Here is an 18723-nt window from a genome sequence, read left to right as displayed (position 1 = left end):
GGGAACGAAATGATGACAACACATGGACACATAGAGGGGAACAACACACAGTGGGGCCCACCTGAGTGCAGAGATTGGGAGGAGGAGTGGGTCAGGAGAAATAACTAATGGATACTAGGCTTAATACCTGGGTGATGAAATAAGCAGTATCACAAATTCCCATGACACATGTTCACCTATGTAACAAAACTGCACATCCTTTCACACGTACCCTTGAACTTAAAATGAAAGCCAAAAATTAATTCATAATTAATTAAAAAATAAAAAAGAAAAATGTTTAAATGTGAAATATAAGAAATAAAGAGCATATAATGTCAGGAACAACAAGCATCTTAATAAAACGCAGAGATTATCACAACGTATTAAAAAGTGAAAATTAGGAAATAGAACAATACATATATCAGCAAATACAAGCAAAAATACACCACAATGAACATATCAAAAATAAGAATGAGAAAAATAAGATATATCAGAAATATATATATTTTTAGAAAAAAATTAAAAGATGGATAAAATTGCCAATTTTTGTATAAAATACAAATAAACCACACTTACATTACAATAAATTTTTTTTTTTTTTTTTTTTTTTTTTTTTTTTGAGACAGAGTCTTGCTCTGTCGCCCAGGCTGGAGTGCAGTGGCGGGATCTCGGCTCACTGCAAGCTCCGCCTCCCGGGTTCACGCCATTCTCCTGCCTCAGCCTCCCAAGTAGCTGGGACTACAGGCGCCCGCCACTACGCCCGGCTAATTTTTTGTATTTTTAGTAGAGACGGGGTTTCACCGTTTTTTTTAGCCAGGATGGTCTCGATCTCCTGACCTCGTGATCCGCCCGCCTCGGCCTCCCAAAGTGCATTACAATAAATTTTAACTTATATGGGTCAATAGTTGGTGGGGAAAAAAGTTAAAAATATAATCAATTATTCTAAGTCTTATATGAACAGCAGGTCCAAATTCATTATTAGTTTTGAGCAAAAATTTTGGAAGCAAATATATTTACATCACTTAACCTTGTTAATATCATAGAAACAAAATATAAAAAGTGCCCCAAATCACTCTATAATCTGAATTTTTCATGTCATGTTATACTCAGAAATTAATGTTAATAATGTCCCAATTAGTTAAATAAAAAGAGGTTGGGATAACTTATTTTTATTAAATTTTCATTAGATTTCATAATTGTTTAAGAAAGATTAATTGCAAAATATTAGGACACATATTTACTATTACATTTACCTAAAAGTTCTATGTACATTTTTTCAAATTTCAGTGAGAGAATTGCTTTGTGAATATTCTCATATCAATTTTTGTGTTTACTTTGTCACATACATCTGACCAAGAAATACCAAGAAGGCAGATAAGCTCTATAAAATTCTGAATGAGAAAACTGCTTACATAAGTAAGCAATTATAAAATGAAATTACTGTACATCCATTTACAATTCATGACAAAATCATTTTAAGCTTCAACAACATTCTTTTTTATTTGTTGATAAATTTGATGTTAAAATTTCTAGTCATTATGTGATTTTCTTAAAAATCAATTTTTAATGCCATTTTCCAAGTAATGCCATAACTTTAATTTCTAGAATACGCAAGCACTTTAAGAAAAATCACATTGTAGTTAATTTAAGTGTTATCAAAGTGGCATAAATCACACACAGATAGAATATTCTGGCCAATTCAGTCCCCCATTTCACATTGTTTTACACCCTATGCACTCTGAGTGTCCAGAAAATACATTTCTCTGTAATCTTTGTGTCCCTCTTGTTCACATACATTCTACAACCAATTTCTGAAAAAATTGCACAGGTGGTTGTGTACTTCTTTGGATATCCTCAGCTCATTGGGAAATATCAGAAATTTCAAGATTTTTCTAATCATCATTGCTGCCTCCTGGGGCAATAGGGTCCCATTATCACATTCTGCTCTGCTCTGTCACTCCTTGAAGATCCTTCTCATTGAAACAATATTTACTCTACAACCTCATCACCTGCAGGCCATCAGACTCAATACCTTGTGGCACACTTGTATTCAATCAGCAGTATAAATGTGGTCCAGTTATTAGATGAAAAACTGTGATTTATAAGTATTGCATTATTTTTATATCAAGATCATAAAACATCTCATATTAGCCCCCAAAATTCTACACACAGAATATTTAAGAAGACAAATTCATATATAATATTAACACCACACATCTCACTTGTGTATTAAAAAATAATAAACCAAAACTAAGGAGGGTTTATCCTAAAAATTAAAATATCATTCAGCTTTAGGAAATTCACTAATACGATTCATTCAAGTAAGATATTAATGGAAAAAAACACATGATATAATTAAATAATAAAAAATAATTCAATAAAATTAAAGTCTTTCTTCCTAAATTTTTTAGCAAGTTAAGCAAATATTGGAAGCTTCCATGAACGTAGAATGAATATGATGTACATTATTAAACTTTAGAATAATTCAACATGCAATTACTAACCTGAAAAACCATAAAAAACAAGTGAGACTTGTTAGTTCTTTAAGGAATGATAATTTCAAACTAATGATTGTCCTCTTTTCAAAGAGGCCCTTACCAATTTGGCACATTTAGAAGTATAACTCCAGCTTGACAGTAATCAGGGCAATTTTTAGGAGACAAAAATAAACAACAGAATTATTATCATTTTCTTGAAATGCAGGGGTTGGAAAGTGGAGTTGTGAAGGGCTAGATCATACAGCCATTATCTCCCTAAACACATTTTCCATATTCTTAAGCTAAAATCTAATTCAAAAATTTCTCTAAAGCACTGCTGTAATTCTTAGAGTTTCTTGATGCTGAGGAGATAAAGATGCTGCAGTTTTTTAGGTGAAAGATTTAGATACTTACACCATTGAAATATGGTGTAAGAGATTTATAAAACTGTGTCTTAGATTTATAAAGCTATGAACTTGTATTTACATAGCTCAATCCATAAATGGATTTAAACTAATCAGACCCACACTATTTCTGCCAAGAGAAAACTATAAAGCCTCTCTTGTAAAACTTACCATCATTGTTAAACATTCCATTGCAAATTATTTAAGGAGGTTTGTAAGGAAATAGAAAGGTATCAAGAAGAAAATCAGGCAATTGAAACTACTGTGAGAGGTAGCAGAAAATTAATGTAATCAACAAAGAACACTTCTGTGACTCCTGATGTGTTGGGGTATTTTCTCACACACCAAGCAATTCACCAAAAGGGTCTCCAGTGGACACTAGCTGGGTGTCAATACAATAAAAGATAATACATAAATTAACAATACCAGGAAAAAAGTGGAGTTATCACTACAAATTATATAGACTTTACAAGGATATAAAAAGAATATGCCAAATAATTATGGCTTAGATATGAGAAAAATTGATTAATAAATTCTAAAAATAGAGAAGATGAAATTTCCCCACACAATTGAAATCTATTAAAAGTAAAGAAATTTAAAAATGGAAAAATAATATGAGTAAGTCAGGAACACAATACAAGGCTGTAAAAGCAAATTAGAAATGGCGGAATAATAATAGAACTAGAAAATAGCTTTAAAACACCCAGATTGAAGAACAAAGAATGAAAGCTTGAGAGATTCAGAATAAAATCTAACATGTATTTGGAACACAGTACAAAACCATAAATTTGGTGTAAATTTAATCCCAAAAGGATTAAATAGAGAATATAGAAAAAGCAAAATTAAGTAATGATTTAAAAATGTCCAAAACTTAAGAAAGATAATCCTTAGTAGAATCCAGTAGCTCTGTAAGTTACGAGTATGATGAAAACTACACTTGAGCAAATCATATGCAAACACTTGAACACCAATGTCAAAAAGAAAACATTAAAAGCAGGTGTTCCTCAAGAAGCAAAAGTAAAATGCATCTGACTTCTCAGAAGAGATCATGTAAGTCAATATAAAACAGATTATATTTTTTAAACTACTGAAAGAAAATTCTGACCTAAAGATAAAACATTCAAAAAAACACTTATCAGAAAAAATGTTAATTTTAGCCACCATACTTTCTTCAGGCTGAGGAAAATTTTTAACAGAAATAAACACAGAAATATAGAAAGGAATGCAAGAAATAGAAAGAGTAAATATATGATTAAGCAAGAATAAATAAATGTTGACTGTAGAAAACAATAATTATTGTGTTTCTGATGTTTAAAATATATAGAAGACAAAATAAATGATGTGAAAAAATTCACTACCTTTTAAATCAACCAGTCATTCAAGAAAGAAATCACAAGGAAAATTGGAAAATATTTTGAGAAATGTAAATAAAAACACAACATACAAAAATTTATGTTATACAGCAAAATTTTAGCCAAAGCAATTAGGCAAGAAAAAGAAATAAAAAGGCAACCAAATTGGAAAGAAAGAATAACATAAAATATATTTGCAGATAATGTAGTCTTATATGTAGAAAACCCTAAAAATCCCACAAAAACATCTTAGACTAATAAATTAACAAAGTTGCAGGATACAAAATCAACACACATACAATAAATAGCTGCATTTTAATACACTGGCTAGCAATGCGTAACCCAAAAAGGAAATTGAGAAAACAATACCATTTACAATATTATTAGAAAGAATAGAATACTACTTAAGAACAAACTTAAAACCAAGGAGAGACAAGACATATACACTCAAAATTACAAACCATTGCTGAAGTTAAAGAAGATATAAATTTAAAAACATCTCATGTTCATGATTTGAAAGACTTAATATTGTCAAGATGACAATACTACCCAAGCCAATCTACAGATTCATAACAATCTTGATCAAAATTCCAATGATGCTTTTTTGCACAAATTGAAAAATGCATCACAAAGTTCATATGGAATCCCAAGGCACTTCAGGTAGCCTTAAAAGTTTTTTCAAAGAAAGAATAAAGTTGAATAACTTATACTTCCTGAGGACAAAACTTCCTGCAAAGCCACAATAATGAAAACAATGTGGTTTGGCATGAAGACAGACATATAGACAAATGGAGAATAGAGAGCCCAGAAATTAACCCTAACATTTACAGTCAAATTATTTCTGTCAAGGCTTCCATGACCATTCAATGGGTAAATGACAATTGTTTCAACAAATGCTGGGAAAAGTGTATATCCATATGTAAAAATATAGTTAGACTCTTATCTCAAACATATACCAACATTAACTCAAAATGGATAAAAGATCTAACTGAAGGAAGAGTTAAAAAGTTAAAGCTCTTAGAGATAAACATAAGGGAAAAGCTTCATGACATTAGATTTGATGATTTCTTTAATATTAAACAGAAGACCAGGCAACAAAAGAAAAAATAAATAAACATCATCAAAATTAAAAACTTTTGTACACAAAACATATTATCAAGACAGTGAAAAGACAACATTTAGAATGGAAAAATAGCAAATCACATATATGATAAGGAATTAATATCCAAAATATATAAATAATTCTAAAACTCAATAATAAAAAGGAAGCACAATTTAAAAATTCTCAAAGGACTTGAATAGAAAATCATCTAAAGGTATATGGATTGCCAATAAGGGAAATAAAGCTCAACTTTGCTAATCACTAGGGAAATGGAAATCAAAACTACAGTGATAATTCCATTTTGCAACTATTAAGATGGTTATTATTAAAAAATAAAAATAAATATTGGGCAGGATGTAGAGAAATTGGAACCCCTGTGCTTGCATTGTTGATGAGACTGTGGCAAATAATATGGTGATTCTGAAAAAAATTGAAAATAGAATTACCATATGCTCCAGCAATTCTTCTGGCCATATACCCAGAATAATTGAAATGAAAACAGAGACCTGAACAGATACTTGTATACCAATGTTCATAGCAATATTATTTACAACAGCCAGAAGGTAGAGGCAAATCAATGGATGAACAAAATGTGGTATATACATACAATGATATAGTTTTCAGCTTAAAAAGAATGAAATTTTGCTACATGATACAACATGGATGGAGCTTGAAAATATCATGCTAAGTGAAATAAGCTAGTCACAAAAGGACAAATATTGTATAATACCAATTATATGAGGTATCTAGAGTAGTCAATTCATATAAACCTCAAGTAGAATAGTGGATACCAGGGGCTAGGGGAAGGGGATAATGGAGGATATATTTTTAAAAAAACAGGCAAAAGATTAAGATGCTTCATCATAGAAGATATACATATTTCAAAAAAGTGTAATAAAAGATGCTCAACATCATATGTCATTAGAGAGCTGCAAATTAAAACAACATTGAGTTACCACTAAATAATTAGAATGCTTAAAATCCCAATCGCTGAAAACACCAAATGCTGGTGAGTATGTCAAGCCACAAGAACTCTCATTCACTGTTGGTGAGAACGCAAAATGATACATCTACTTTGAAAGACAATTTAGTAATTTCCTACAAAACTAAACAAACATGCTGCTATTATATGACTCAGTAATTGTGCTCCTTGGTATTTACCCAACTGAAATAAAAACTTATGTCCACACCAAAACCTGTAAATGAGTGTTTATAGCAACATTATTCACAATTGCCCAAAATGGAAAAAGAAAAACCCACATTGTCCTTTAATAGATGAATGATCAAACACACTGTGGTACATCTGTACAGTGGAATATTATTCAATGATAAAAGCAAATAAGCCATAAAGCCATGAAAAGACATGGAGGGATCATAAATAAATATTACTAAGAAACAGTAAAAAGTTCATGGGTTTCTAGGAGTTTATGGAAAAGGATGAAGGGCTAAATATGTGGATCACAGGGCATTCTTAGCACAGTGAAACTATTCTGTATGATACTGTAATAATGGAAACATATTTTTAAGACACATATATTTTTTAAGACGCATATTTTGAAAGACCTATATATTTTTAGGACCCATAGAATGTACAAAGAATTAAACTCAATGTAAACTGTAGACAGTAGTTAATAATAATGTATAATTAGTAGCACAGGAATTATAGGGCATCCCTCTAAGGCAAGATGTAAAATAATAGGGGAAGCAGAGAGGGAGAGGGAGCAGATATATTGTAGTCCACTGTACTTGGTGCTTGTTTTTATGTAAACCAAACGTTGCTCTGAAAAATGTCTGCTAATTTTTTTAAAGCTACTATAGAAAATACACAATGAAGAAGCACCACCAAAATAGCATAACCTTGATACAAAATCAGAAACGTAAAGTACAAGATATAAAACTATCAAATCCATAAGATAGAAACATTTATATCAAATAAAATACTCAAAAATTGAACTAAAAACAGGTCATGGTTGGTTTTATTCTGGGAATTAAAGTTGGCTTACTATTTTAAAAATCAATAAATATATTTGTACATTAACAGATTAAAGGGGAAAATCATAGAGTAAAGTCAATAGATGCAGAAAAAGTCTTTGGTAAAATTTAACACTTATTCATAATAGAAAACAAACTAGAAATAAAAGAATAATTTTAATTGAAAATTATAATAAAAAATATTCTGCAAATATTACTCTAAAATGTGAAGCCTTGAAATTTTTTCTTTCACAATAAGGACAAGGCAAGAATATCTACCACTTATATTGAATCATGCATAAAAGTCTGAATTTAATATTCTGTTATGTTCTTAACTTCTTTATACTGATGCTTAGATTACTAATTTTCAGAGTAATAAATTATAAATGTTCATGGCAACTAATGAAAAGTATATCATTAATAAAAAGAGAACAACTCTATTATAACTGGCAACATTTCATGAATAATGGTATTTCAGAACACCTACATGCTAATAAAATTGAACTGGAATGATAAATGATAAAGCTGTCTATTGAGACCTGTCATTAGAAAGTCTATGCAAATTTGCTTAGACTCAGTAAGATTTCTATTACTTATAATTATTTTTAAGTCGTTTTTCTTTTTAAACATTTTAACTACAAAATATAACATATGTAGAAATATAAATTAAATAAATATGGAAGTTTTACCTTATGTATTTCCTTTATGAATGTAATATTTCATAGTAAAAGGTTTTATCAAAAAAATCTAAAAAGTAGAAGTAAAACAACAACTGAACGTAAATAATAATATATTAAGAAAACAATTGTGAACCCAATGAAACATGGTAGCAAAAATTGATAATGTATAAAAATGTATATAAGTTACACATATCAGATATGTATAAAGTTATACAAAAAACGTATAACTTTGTGTTGAGATATTGCATAACTTTGTGTTGAGATATTGTAAAAAATAATAAGGCTGAAGAACTAAAATGTAACAGAGGAAGTAAAAAATTCAAGCCAAAAATTATAATTACAGAAAAAAAAACATTAAAATGTGGCTATTTTCTTTGTTAATAACTGATGGCAAATTACTGACAATGTAGTAGCATTTTATATCCTCTGAATCCAACTATTTTAGAAATTATAGAATTAAATATTAATGCATTCTGGTGAATTTGAGGTTACTCTTACAATGTTGGCTATATCACACACTGATTTTCTTTTAGGAAAATAATTTTTTAAAACTCAAATTATAAATTTTAATAAATGGAACTGCAATATAAAAGTAACAAATTTAAATTACCAGATTAAAATAGACAATTCAGAAGAAATAAAAAAAGCTTTTTGCGTGAAGTTGCATTTCCTATTGGAAGTCTCTCAATGAGAAAAAAATATTCCCTGATATGTCAACGTGTTTTTAAGTATACTCTGTAAAATATTGTATACTCATATGCCTTAATTATTAAATGTGTGTGGGAGAAGAAATATGTTCATGATATAAGTAAAAATGCATTTATTTGTGTTGAAGAAGAATAAATGTTTTTATTTAAACATATTACTAAGTTGTGACTGCTTACAGTTCAATACGTATCTGGTACAATTCACTTAATATGTTATATAGTTTGAAATTAGGTCAGTTAATTTTCTTTATATTAGTCTACCAGAGCTAGGCAAGTCAACCTAGACTCTCAATCCTCATAAACAGATGTTTATTTGAATTACCCACAAGAATAACATGCAATTCAGATACAAAAGTGACTTACCCCTTTCCCTTTGCATTTTGTGGTGGCATTACAGTTATATCCCATTAAATGAACTTTTCTGCAGGTTTTATTTACACAGTACTAAAACAAAACAAACAAAAATTTTACAATTCACAAATGTCATATAAAACAAGAAAAAACATTAATGATTTCTATATATGTATAAGAGATGCTTAAGTTGAAAGACTTTTAGTAATATTAATATGACTAATATTAATATGATTAACATTATCTTAATTTATTGATACAAAAATACAAAAATCTAAACAACAAAGTAATTGCAAGCAAAAAAACTGACAGCATTTGCCCTGACATGGTTAATGTAAAGGTTATATATAGTTTCAGTTTTTATACTTATAGCTTGCATTGGATTGAGACACTCATCGTATGAGTTTTCTATATTATGTTAATGTTTTGTTATGAATAATTGATTAGATGTTAATGACTTGTCTTCTCAAAAATTGGAACAGAAATCATTTTGTTTAGGTTTTAAGTATAATTCATAAATTTTGAATCTTTGTTATAAGATTCCTCAGAATAATATGGCAAGAACAATATTTATTTCTTGTAAAACTTTTATTATGGCAAAATGTGTAATATGGTGGTGAATAATCACCCAGATATGTGGTGTTTTGCCTCATTTATGTTTTTCTATTTTTTTCTGACTTTGCAAGCTTCTTTTTTATTTCAAAGTGTCACCATAAAATCTGTTTAAGTCGTTCACAACATAACAATACTAAACATGAATAAAAATTAGCTTTTTAATTACTTCCTCAAATCTGCATAAAACCAATTTATAGATTATAAGTTGCATATGTCAACTCACTTTTGTCCCTCATATTCAGCAAATATCAGATGCTCTAGCCAGAGCATTTCAGCAAAAAATAAAAAGATATCCAAGACTATTTTTAGCTTCCATGTATGAGTAAGAATATATGATATTTATTTATCTGTGTTTGGCTTAATTCAGTTAATACAATGGTCTCCAAGTTCATCCATGTTCTGCAAATAACATGATTTTATTTGTTTATCACTAAATAATGATTCTGTTGTGTGTATGTACCACATTTTCTTTATCCATTCATCCATTAATGAGCAATTACGTTGATTCCATAGTTTGGTTATTGTGAATAGTGTGGCAATAAACATGGGAGTTTATTGCCACAACTATCTCTTCAATATACTTATTTCCTTTTCTTTGAATAAACACCCAGTAGTGGGATGGCTGGATCACATGGTAGCTCTATTTTTAGTTTTAGAAGAAACACCATACTGTTTTCCATATTAGCTGTACTAATTTGCATTGTCACAAACAGTGTATAAGAGTTACCCTTTCTCTGCATTCTCGCTAACATGGGTTACTTTTTGTATTTTAAAAGTTTCAGGTGATGAGCTTGCTAGTTAGATATGATCATTATACGTTGTATACGTGCAGTGAATTACATTAATTGATATACACAAATGGTACATATTTTAAGGTACATTGTACCTTATAAACTTTTCTTGTTTCATATAAAACAAGAAAAAACATTAAGCAGTGATTTAATATATGCGTGTAAGAGATGCATATATATCATCTGGTTCTTGCATTATTTCCTTAGGGTAATAACCTTTAGCTTCATTCATGTTTCTGCAAAGGACATGATTTCATTCTTTTTTAGGACTGCATAGTATTCCATGGTGTACATTTTTAAAAATCCAATCTACTATTGATGGGCTTCAAGGTTGATTCCATCCATGTCTTTGCTATTGTGAATAGTTTCACAATGAACATACAAATGCTTGTGTCTCTTTGATAGAGTGAATAATTTTCCTTTGAGCGTATACCCAGAAGTGGGATGGTTGGGTCAAATGGTAATTGTTTTAAGTTCTTTGAGAAATCTCCAAACTGCTTTTCACAGTGGCTGAACTAATTTACATCCCCACCAATCGTGTGTGTTTCCTTTTCTCTTCACCCTCACCAACATTTGGTTGGTGGGGAGAGAATAACAAGGATTTATTTTTTAATGGGTACAGAGTTTCAGTTTGGGATGACAAAAAATGTGCTGTATGTAAGTAGTAGTGACAGTTGCACAACAATACAAATGTAATTAATGAATTGTCCACTTGAAAATGGGTAGAAATGTAAATTTACATTATGTATATTTTTTCACAGTATAAAAAGAAAAAAATTGTATATGCCATATGAAGATTATAAAATTGTCCAAATTAGGCCTCCTACCTGCAGCACCACCCACTGTAGCACCTCCCACCTATGACATTCCCACTACACCTGCTGAAGTGCCCCCTGCCCATGGGACCTCCAACAGAGCACCCCTACTGCCCAGGGTGACCCCTACTAGAGTGCACACACCTTCCACTTGCCATGCTCCTGTAATCCCCTCCTAAGCACCCCTGCCCATGGTGCCACATGCTGGAGTGCCTCTGCCCTAGTGGCACACCTGCCACACCCACCAGCACACCTACACCCATGACTCCACCATCTCCTATGGAGTGGTATTGCCAGCAGTCTGAGAGCACTTTGGCAACTCCAGCCCAACTGGAGCTCAACCTCAAAGGACCATCCTCTCAGCGCAAAAGCTTCCTAAGCTGATAAACAACTTCAGCAAAGTCTCCGAATACAAAATCAATGTGCAAAAATCACTAGCATTCCCATACACCAACAGACAAATGAGCCAACAGTCAACAGAGTCAAATCAGGAATGTACTCCCATTCACAGCTGCCGCACACACACACAGAATACCTAGGAATACAGCGAACTAGGGAGGTGAAAGATCTCTACAAGGAGAGCTACAAAACGCTGCTCAAAGAAATCACAGATGACATAAACAAATAGAAACACATTCCATGCTCAAGGACAGGAAGAATCAATATAGCTGAAATGGCCACATTGCCCAGGGCAATTTTTAGGTTCAATGTCACTCTCATTAAACCACCACTGAGATTCTTCACAGAACTAGAAAAAACTATTATTTCAACTTTCACATAAAACAAAAAATGAGCCTGAATAGCCAATGCAATCCTATGCAAAGCGAACAAAGCTGGAAGCATCATGCTGCCTGACTTCAAACTATCCTACAGGGCTACAGTAACCAAAACAGCATGGTACTGATTCAAAAACAGACACAGAGACCAAAGGAACAGAACAGAGAACCCAGAAACAAGACCACACATTTACTACAATCTAATCTTTGACAAACCTGACAAAAACAAGCAATGGGCAAAGGATATTCTATTCAATAAATGATGCCGGGATAAATGGCTAGCCATATAGAGAATATTGAAACTGGACTGCTTCCTTACACCACACACAGAAATTAACTTAAGACAGATTAAAGATTTAAATGTAAAACCCAAAACTATAAAAACCCTGGCAATACCATTTAAGACATAGGCGCAGGCAATGATTTCATGATGCAGATGCCAAAAGCAATTGCAACAAAAGCAAAAATTAACAAATGAGATCTAATTTAACTAAAGAACTTCTGCACAGCAAAAGAAACCAAACAGAGTTAAACAGACCAGCCTACAGAATGGCAGAAAATATTTGCAAACTATGTATATGACAAAAGTATAATACCCAGCATCTATAAAGAACTTAAACAAAGTTACAAGAAAAAAAAAGCCATTAAAAAGTGGCCAAAGAACATGAACAGATACTTTTCAAAAGAAGACATACATGCAGCCAAGAAACATGGAAAAAAAGCTCAACATCATCGAGCATTAAGAAAATGCAAATCAAAACCAAAGTGAGATACCATCTCATACCAGTCAGAAAGGCTATTACTAAAAAGTGAAAAAATTAACAGATGCTGTCAAAGTTGTGGAGAAAAAGGAATGCTTACACACTATTAGTGGGAATGTAAATTAGTTCAATCATTGTGGAAGACAACGTGGTGATTCCTCCAAGTTTTAAAGACAGAACAATCCCATTACTGGTTATATACCCAAAGGAATATAGATCAGTCTAGTATAAGGGCACATGTATGTTCATTGCAGCACTCTTCACAATAACAAAGACATGGCATCAACTTAAATGCCCATCAATGACAGATTGGATAAAGAAAATGTGCTACATATACACTATGGAATACTATGCAGACATAAAAAAAATGAGGTCATGTCTTCTGCAGGGACATGGATGGAGCTGGAGGTCATTATTCTTAGCAAACTAATGCAGGAATAGAAAACTAAATACTGCATGTTCTCACTTACAAGTGGGAGCTGAATAATGAGAACACATGGACACATAGAAGGGAACAACACACAGTGGGGTCTTTGGTAGGGTGGAGGCTGGGAGGAGGGAGAAGTTCAGAAAAAAGAACTAATGGGTACTAGGCTTAATACCTGGGTGATGAAATAATCTTTACAACAACCCTCATGACACAAGTTTAGCTATGTAACAAACCTTCACATGTACCCCTGAACTTAAAAATAAAAGTTAAAAAGAAGAAATAGAAAAAAAAGTTCATCATCACTAATCATTAGAGACATGCAAATCAAAACCACAATGAGGTACCATCTCACATCAGTTAAAGTCCAAAAATAGCAGGCCAGTAAGGCTGCAGAGAAATGGCAACATTTATTAACTGCTGGTGGAAATGTAAATTAGTTCAACCATTGTGGAAAGCACTTTGGAAATTACTCCTTGAACTTAAAACAGAGCTACAATTTGACCCAGCAATACCACTATTGATATACATCCAAAGGAAAATAAGTCCTTCTACCAAAAAGACACATGTATTCATATGTTTATTACAGCACTATTCACAATAGCAAAGACATGAATCAATGAAGACGCCCATTAATGGTGGGCTGGATAAAGAAAACAGGGTGCGCACACACCATGGAATACTATGCAGTCACACAAAAAGAATGAAATAATGTCCTCTGCAGCAACATGGATGCAACTGGAGGATATTATCCTAAGCAAACTAATGCAGGAACAGAAAACTAAATACTGCATGTTCTCACTTATAAGTGGGAGCTAAACATTAAATACACATGGCAGTAAAAAAATGGAACAATAGATACTGGGACTGCTTGAAATGGGAGGATGGGGAAAGGGGCCTGGGTTGGGAGGCTACTTATTGGGTACTATGCTCACTACCTTGGTGATGGAATCATTTGTACACCAAGCCTCAGTGTCATGTAATTTACCCATGTAACAAATCTGCACATATGCCTCCTGAACCTAAAATACAGTACAATAGAATAAAATTGTCTAATTTAGACCAGTGTATGTAAGAGGAAGGGAGATGACAAGAAATTAATAATCAATTGATGAACTCTTAAGTTAACTACCATTTCTCACTGGATCATCAGCTTAATTTAAAGTTATACATTGATGATCAAAATAAGAAGACAAATTATGCATTGTAAATAATTTTAGGAAACAGAATAAAGTGCCATGCATGGCCATTTAAGTATGCGTCTAAATTTATGTGAATATTGCATAGACATATTTTCAATGTTTTTGAGATTATTTTCTATCGTATTCTAAGTAGCACAAGAACTTCCTATATATAGGTGCAAAAGGCCACATGGGCATGTGAAAAATAGCTTTATATTAAAATACATACTAATATTATAACTGAACATGTTTCACTTAATATCTGTATTTCTGCAATCCATTCTGGAAGTCTAGTTGGACAAAAGATATTTCAAGTAAAAAAAAATAGGAATCTATTTTAAAAAATCAATGTGGTCAACATCCTGTGATGAAGGCACTCTTAGCTAACTTTCAACAAATTCCCCTTAGATCTCTTGGCTTCATATGAATATGCACCAAACAAAGTAATGGAAACATACCTTTAGTCACATAATACACTGCAAGTGATGTGCAATAACTAATAGTTCAACAAAGAAACTTCCAATTGCACAGAGTTCTGATTCCTACGCATTTCTTAAAAGCAAATAATGAATAAAAAATATCTGAGTCTGAAAATAATTTTTCTTAATTAATGTTGTTTTTCGTATGTCAGAAATTGTAATCATTTAAGAACAAAAGAGATAAACAAGCTATAGTCATTTTAGAAATGAAAAAGGAAACACTTTAACCAAGATATTAACATGCTGTGGTCGGAATATTTGTGTTCCCCAAAATTCACCTGTTGAAACCTAATCTCCAGTGCAATCATATTAAAAAGTGGATCCCGTAGAAGGCGATTAGGTCACAAGGGTAGAATCCCCATGAATGAGATTAGCGCCTTAATAAAAGAGGTTCAATGGAGCTTGTTCACCCTTTCTGTCATGCGAGGACACGGTAAGGTACCAACTTTGAAGCAGATAATGAGTCCTAACCAGGCACTAAATCTGCTGGCACTTTGATCTTGGACTTCCCAGCCTCAAAAACTGTTAAGCAGTACGTTCCTTTTGTTTGTAAATTACCCAATCTCAGCTATTTCATTATAGCAGCATGAGTGCACTAAGACAGAAATTGGTACCGAGAGGTGGAATGTTGCCATAAAAAATACCTAAAGATGTGGAAGTGGCTTTGGAACTCACTACTGACCGGAGGCTGAAAAAGGTTTGGAAGTGCTTGCTAGAAAAAGCCTGCATTGCTGTAAGTGGAGAATTAAGGATGATTCTGGTGAGGGCTCAGAAGAAAAGGACAGCTTTAGAGAAAACCTCAGTTTTCTCACAGGTTACCTAGCTGGTTGTGATCAGAGCATTGGTAGGAAAATGGAAGGTGAAAGCCATTTTGATGAGGTCTCAATTGAAATGAGGACCAAGGTACCGGAAAATGAGGGAAAGACGATCTTTGTTATAAAGTGTCAAAGAACTTGGCTAAATTGTGTTTGTGTCCTAGTGTTTTGTGGAAGGTGGGATTTCTGAGCCATGAAATAAGATACTTCACAGAAGAAGAAATATGTTAGCAGATGGTGGAGGGTGCAGCATGCTTTTTTAAATCAGTTTATAGTAAAGTGTGAGAAGAAAGAAAGAAATATTAAACACGGAATTTATAATGAAAAGGAAAGCAGAACTAAAAAATTTGGAAAATTCTTAGCCCAGCCATGTTGTAAAGAATGAAAAAGCATGTTCAGGAGCGAACACCAAGGATATGACCAAGCCACCTTTTGAAAAAGAGATTAAGAAGGTTTAGAAACCAGGTGATATTCCCCAACTCAATGGAAGAATGCCCCTGAAGGCATTTCACAGATTATCAGTGCTGCCACTCCCATTACAGGATCAGAGTTACCAGGCCTGAGGAGCAGATCTATGTCAAAAGAGGAGCCTCATGCACCCACAGGAATTTGGCACTTACTGCTCATGATGCCTCAAGTCTCTATTCCCTGCATTATAGCAAACCGCTCTTCAACCATATCGGGTATGACTCCACTGGGCCCAGGTGGGATGAGACCCAAGGAGATGTTCTTCTGGACGGCACATTCAAATCAACCTTGGGGGTGTCTCCATGGTGCCATCTTTACAAGGGCCCAGAATGAACAAGCTGTGGAGGCATGGCTGCCTTCACCTGGACTTCAAAGGATGCCCCAGATGCCCTCACAGCACAGGCAGAGAACTGTCATTGTAGCAGGAAGAGTTGTAGACAAAATCCCTCAGACACTGGATTGTGGAAGGGAAGAGCTTCATTCAGCTGGGAGCATCAGCTGACTAGAAACTGAGCTCCCTGAATAAGTAATTCCTGTCCCTTTTAAGGGCTAACTTTAAAGAGTGAGGGGGTTGTGATTAATTAAGCGAGTGAGGGGTACGTGACTGGGGGCTGCAGGCACCAGTAATCAGAGTGAAACAGAACAGAACAGGGAGTTTCACAATGCTCCCTCATACAATGTCTAGAATCTACGGATAACACAGTGGTGAGGTCAGGGGTTGAATTTTAACTACCAGGCCTGAAATGAGGCACCGGGCTGTCTGACTATGAATTTCACTTCTGCTTATTAACTTTTACCTTTTCAGCAAACAAGAAATTATAAGAAATTATAAGAAACTATATAAGAAGTGGTCTCTTCTCTCATCATACTAGGGCAATGCCCAGTGGAGCTGGGAGCAAGAGTGAGGCCAGCACAGACAGCCCCCACCAGGGCAACAATGAGTACAGAACTGCCCCCTCAACCTCAGGCTGATTGAGTCACTGGTGTGAAACTCTAGCCTAAGAGAGCCCCAGACACACAATTCCAACCTGTGAGAGGTGTGGCATGGGCTGTAACCAGCAAATCCATTGAGATTGGGCTGCCCAGAGCCCTCGGGGCCCAGTTCGTGCCCCAGTTAAAACATTTTGGTTATCCAAGAAAAGTAATTCCTAGAGATTGACTGTATGTCACAGTTTATATAGTTAACAATAATGTATTATATACTTAAACAATTCCTAGGGGGTAGGCCATATATTAAATGCTGCTATGAGAGAGGTAACAATAATAAATAAATAAATAAATAAATAAAAGATTGGGAAAAAATTTTGGAAGTTATAAATAGCTTATGACATGGAAGGTAGTGATCATTTCACAGATGTATAATTATCTCTAAACTCATCAATTTATTGTTTATTTACTTATTTATCTATTTATTTTATGTATTTATTTATTTTGAGATAAGGTCTTGCTTTGTTGACCAGACTGGAGTGTAGTGGTGTGAAAGCTTCAATCTCCTGAGTTCAAGAGATCCTCTTGCTTCAGCCTCCCAAGTAGCTGGGACTACAGGTGTGTGCCACCATACCTGGCTAATTTTTTAAAATAATATTATTTTTTAGAGACAAGTTCTCGCTATGTTTCCCAGGCAGGTCTTGAACTCCTGAGCTCAACTGATCCTCCCATCTTGGTGTTTCAAAGTGATTTTTGTTTGTCAAATAAAACTAAATATACAATTCAACCAAAAAAAGTAAGTAAAACAAACTACAGAGTAGGAGAAAATATTTGCCATCTTGCCTTTAGGATATTTAAAGAACAATTAAATTGAACTTTTAAAAAAGACAATCTGATTAAAAATAGGCTAAAGACATGATCAGATACTTTACTCAGGAGGATACACTGATGACATATAAGTTCATGGAAAATACTGAATATAATTAACCATTAAAGAATGCAAATATCACTATGCACATATAAAAATGAGTAAATAATAAGTAGTGCTAACACCAAATGCTGTTGAGGATATGAAGAAACTTGCTCACTTACACACTGCTGGTGGAAATGAAAAATGGCATAGCCACTTGACCAAAGATTCTAGCAGTTTCTCATAGAACCAAAAATATACTTATCTTGCAAATCAGAAATTGCACTCTTAGAAGTTTATCTTAGGAAAAGGAAACAATACACATATTATCGCAGTTTCTGTGAGTGGTGAATTCTGGGAATGGCATAGCTTGGTCTTTTGCTTCAGATATTTGCATAGGCTGGTATTAAAATGCCAGCCAATTTCATCTGAAGGTTTTACTAAAATGAATATGCTTCCAAATTTGTCACGTGGTTGTCAGAAGGCTGTTGTATTAACATGCTCATTTCCTCAAGGTCTTTTGGATGGAGGCCATATTCACTTTCTTCCCATGTATTACTCTTCAACATGGTAGCTTATTTCATCCAAGTAAGCAATGAAGAAGGGGCAGGAGAACAAAACGGAAAATACTGTCTGTTATATCCTAATGTTGCAAGTTATATTCCATCATTTTTTCCATACTCTATTTGTTAGAAGCACGTCACTATGTCCATCCCTCACTTGGTTGGTAGGGAA

General features: G+C 33.3%; 1 protein-coding gene across 3 annotated transcripts in view; it reads right to left on the bottom strand.

Annotated features, from left to right (window-relative positions):
• ADAM18 (ADAM metallopeptidase domain 18) overlaps positions 1–18723 on the bottom strand; it is a 145498-nt gene that overhangs the window by 28350 nt on the left and 98425 nt on the right. For all 3 annotated transcript variants that reach the window (NR_135201.2, NM_014237.3, NM_001320313.2), the window contains one exon: positions 9036–9116. Coding sequence is in view for 2 of the 3 variants with exons in the window: in NM_014237.3 (NP_055052.1) it covers positions 9036–9116 (81 nt within the window). In the remaining variant the exon portion in view is untranslated. The remainder of the gene's footprint in view (positions 1–9035; positions 9117–18723) is intronic.

This window comes from Homo sapiens, chromosome 8 (assembly GCF_000001405.40).
Source record: "Homo sapiens chromosome 8, GRCh38.p14 Primary Assembly".
Taxonomy (NCBI): domain Eukaryota; kingdom Metazoa; phylum Chordata; class Mammalia; order Primates; family Hominidae; genus Homo; species Homo sapiens.
Note: the sequence above shows the minus strand (reverse complement) of the source record. Positions and strands in the feature narration are given on the sequence as shown.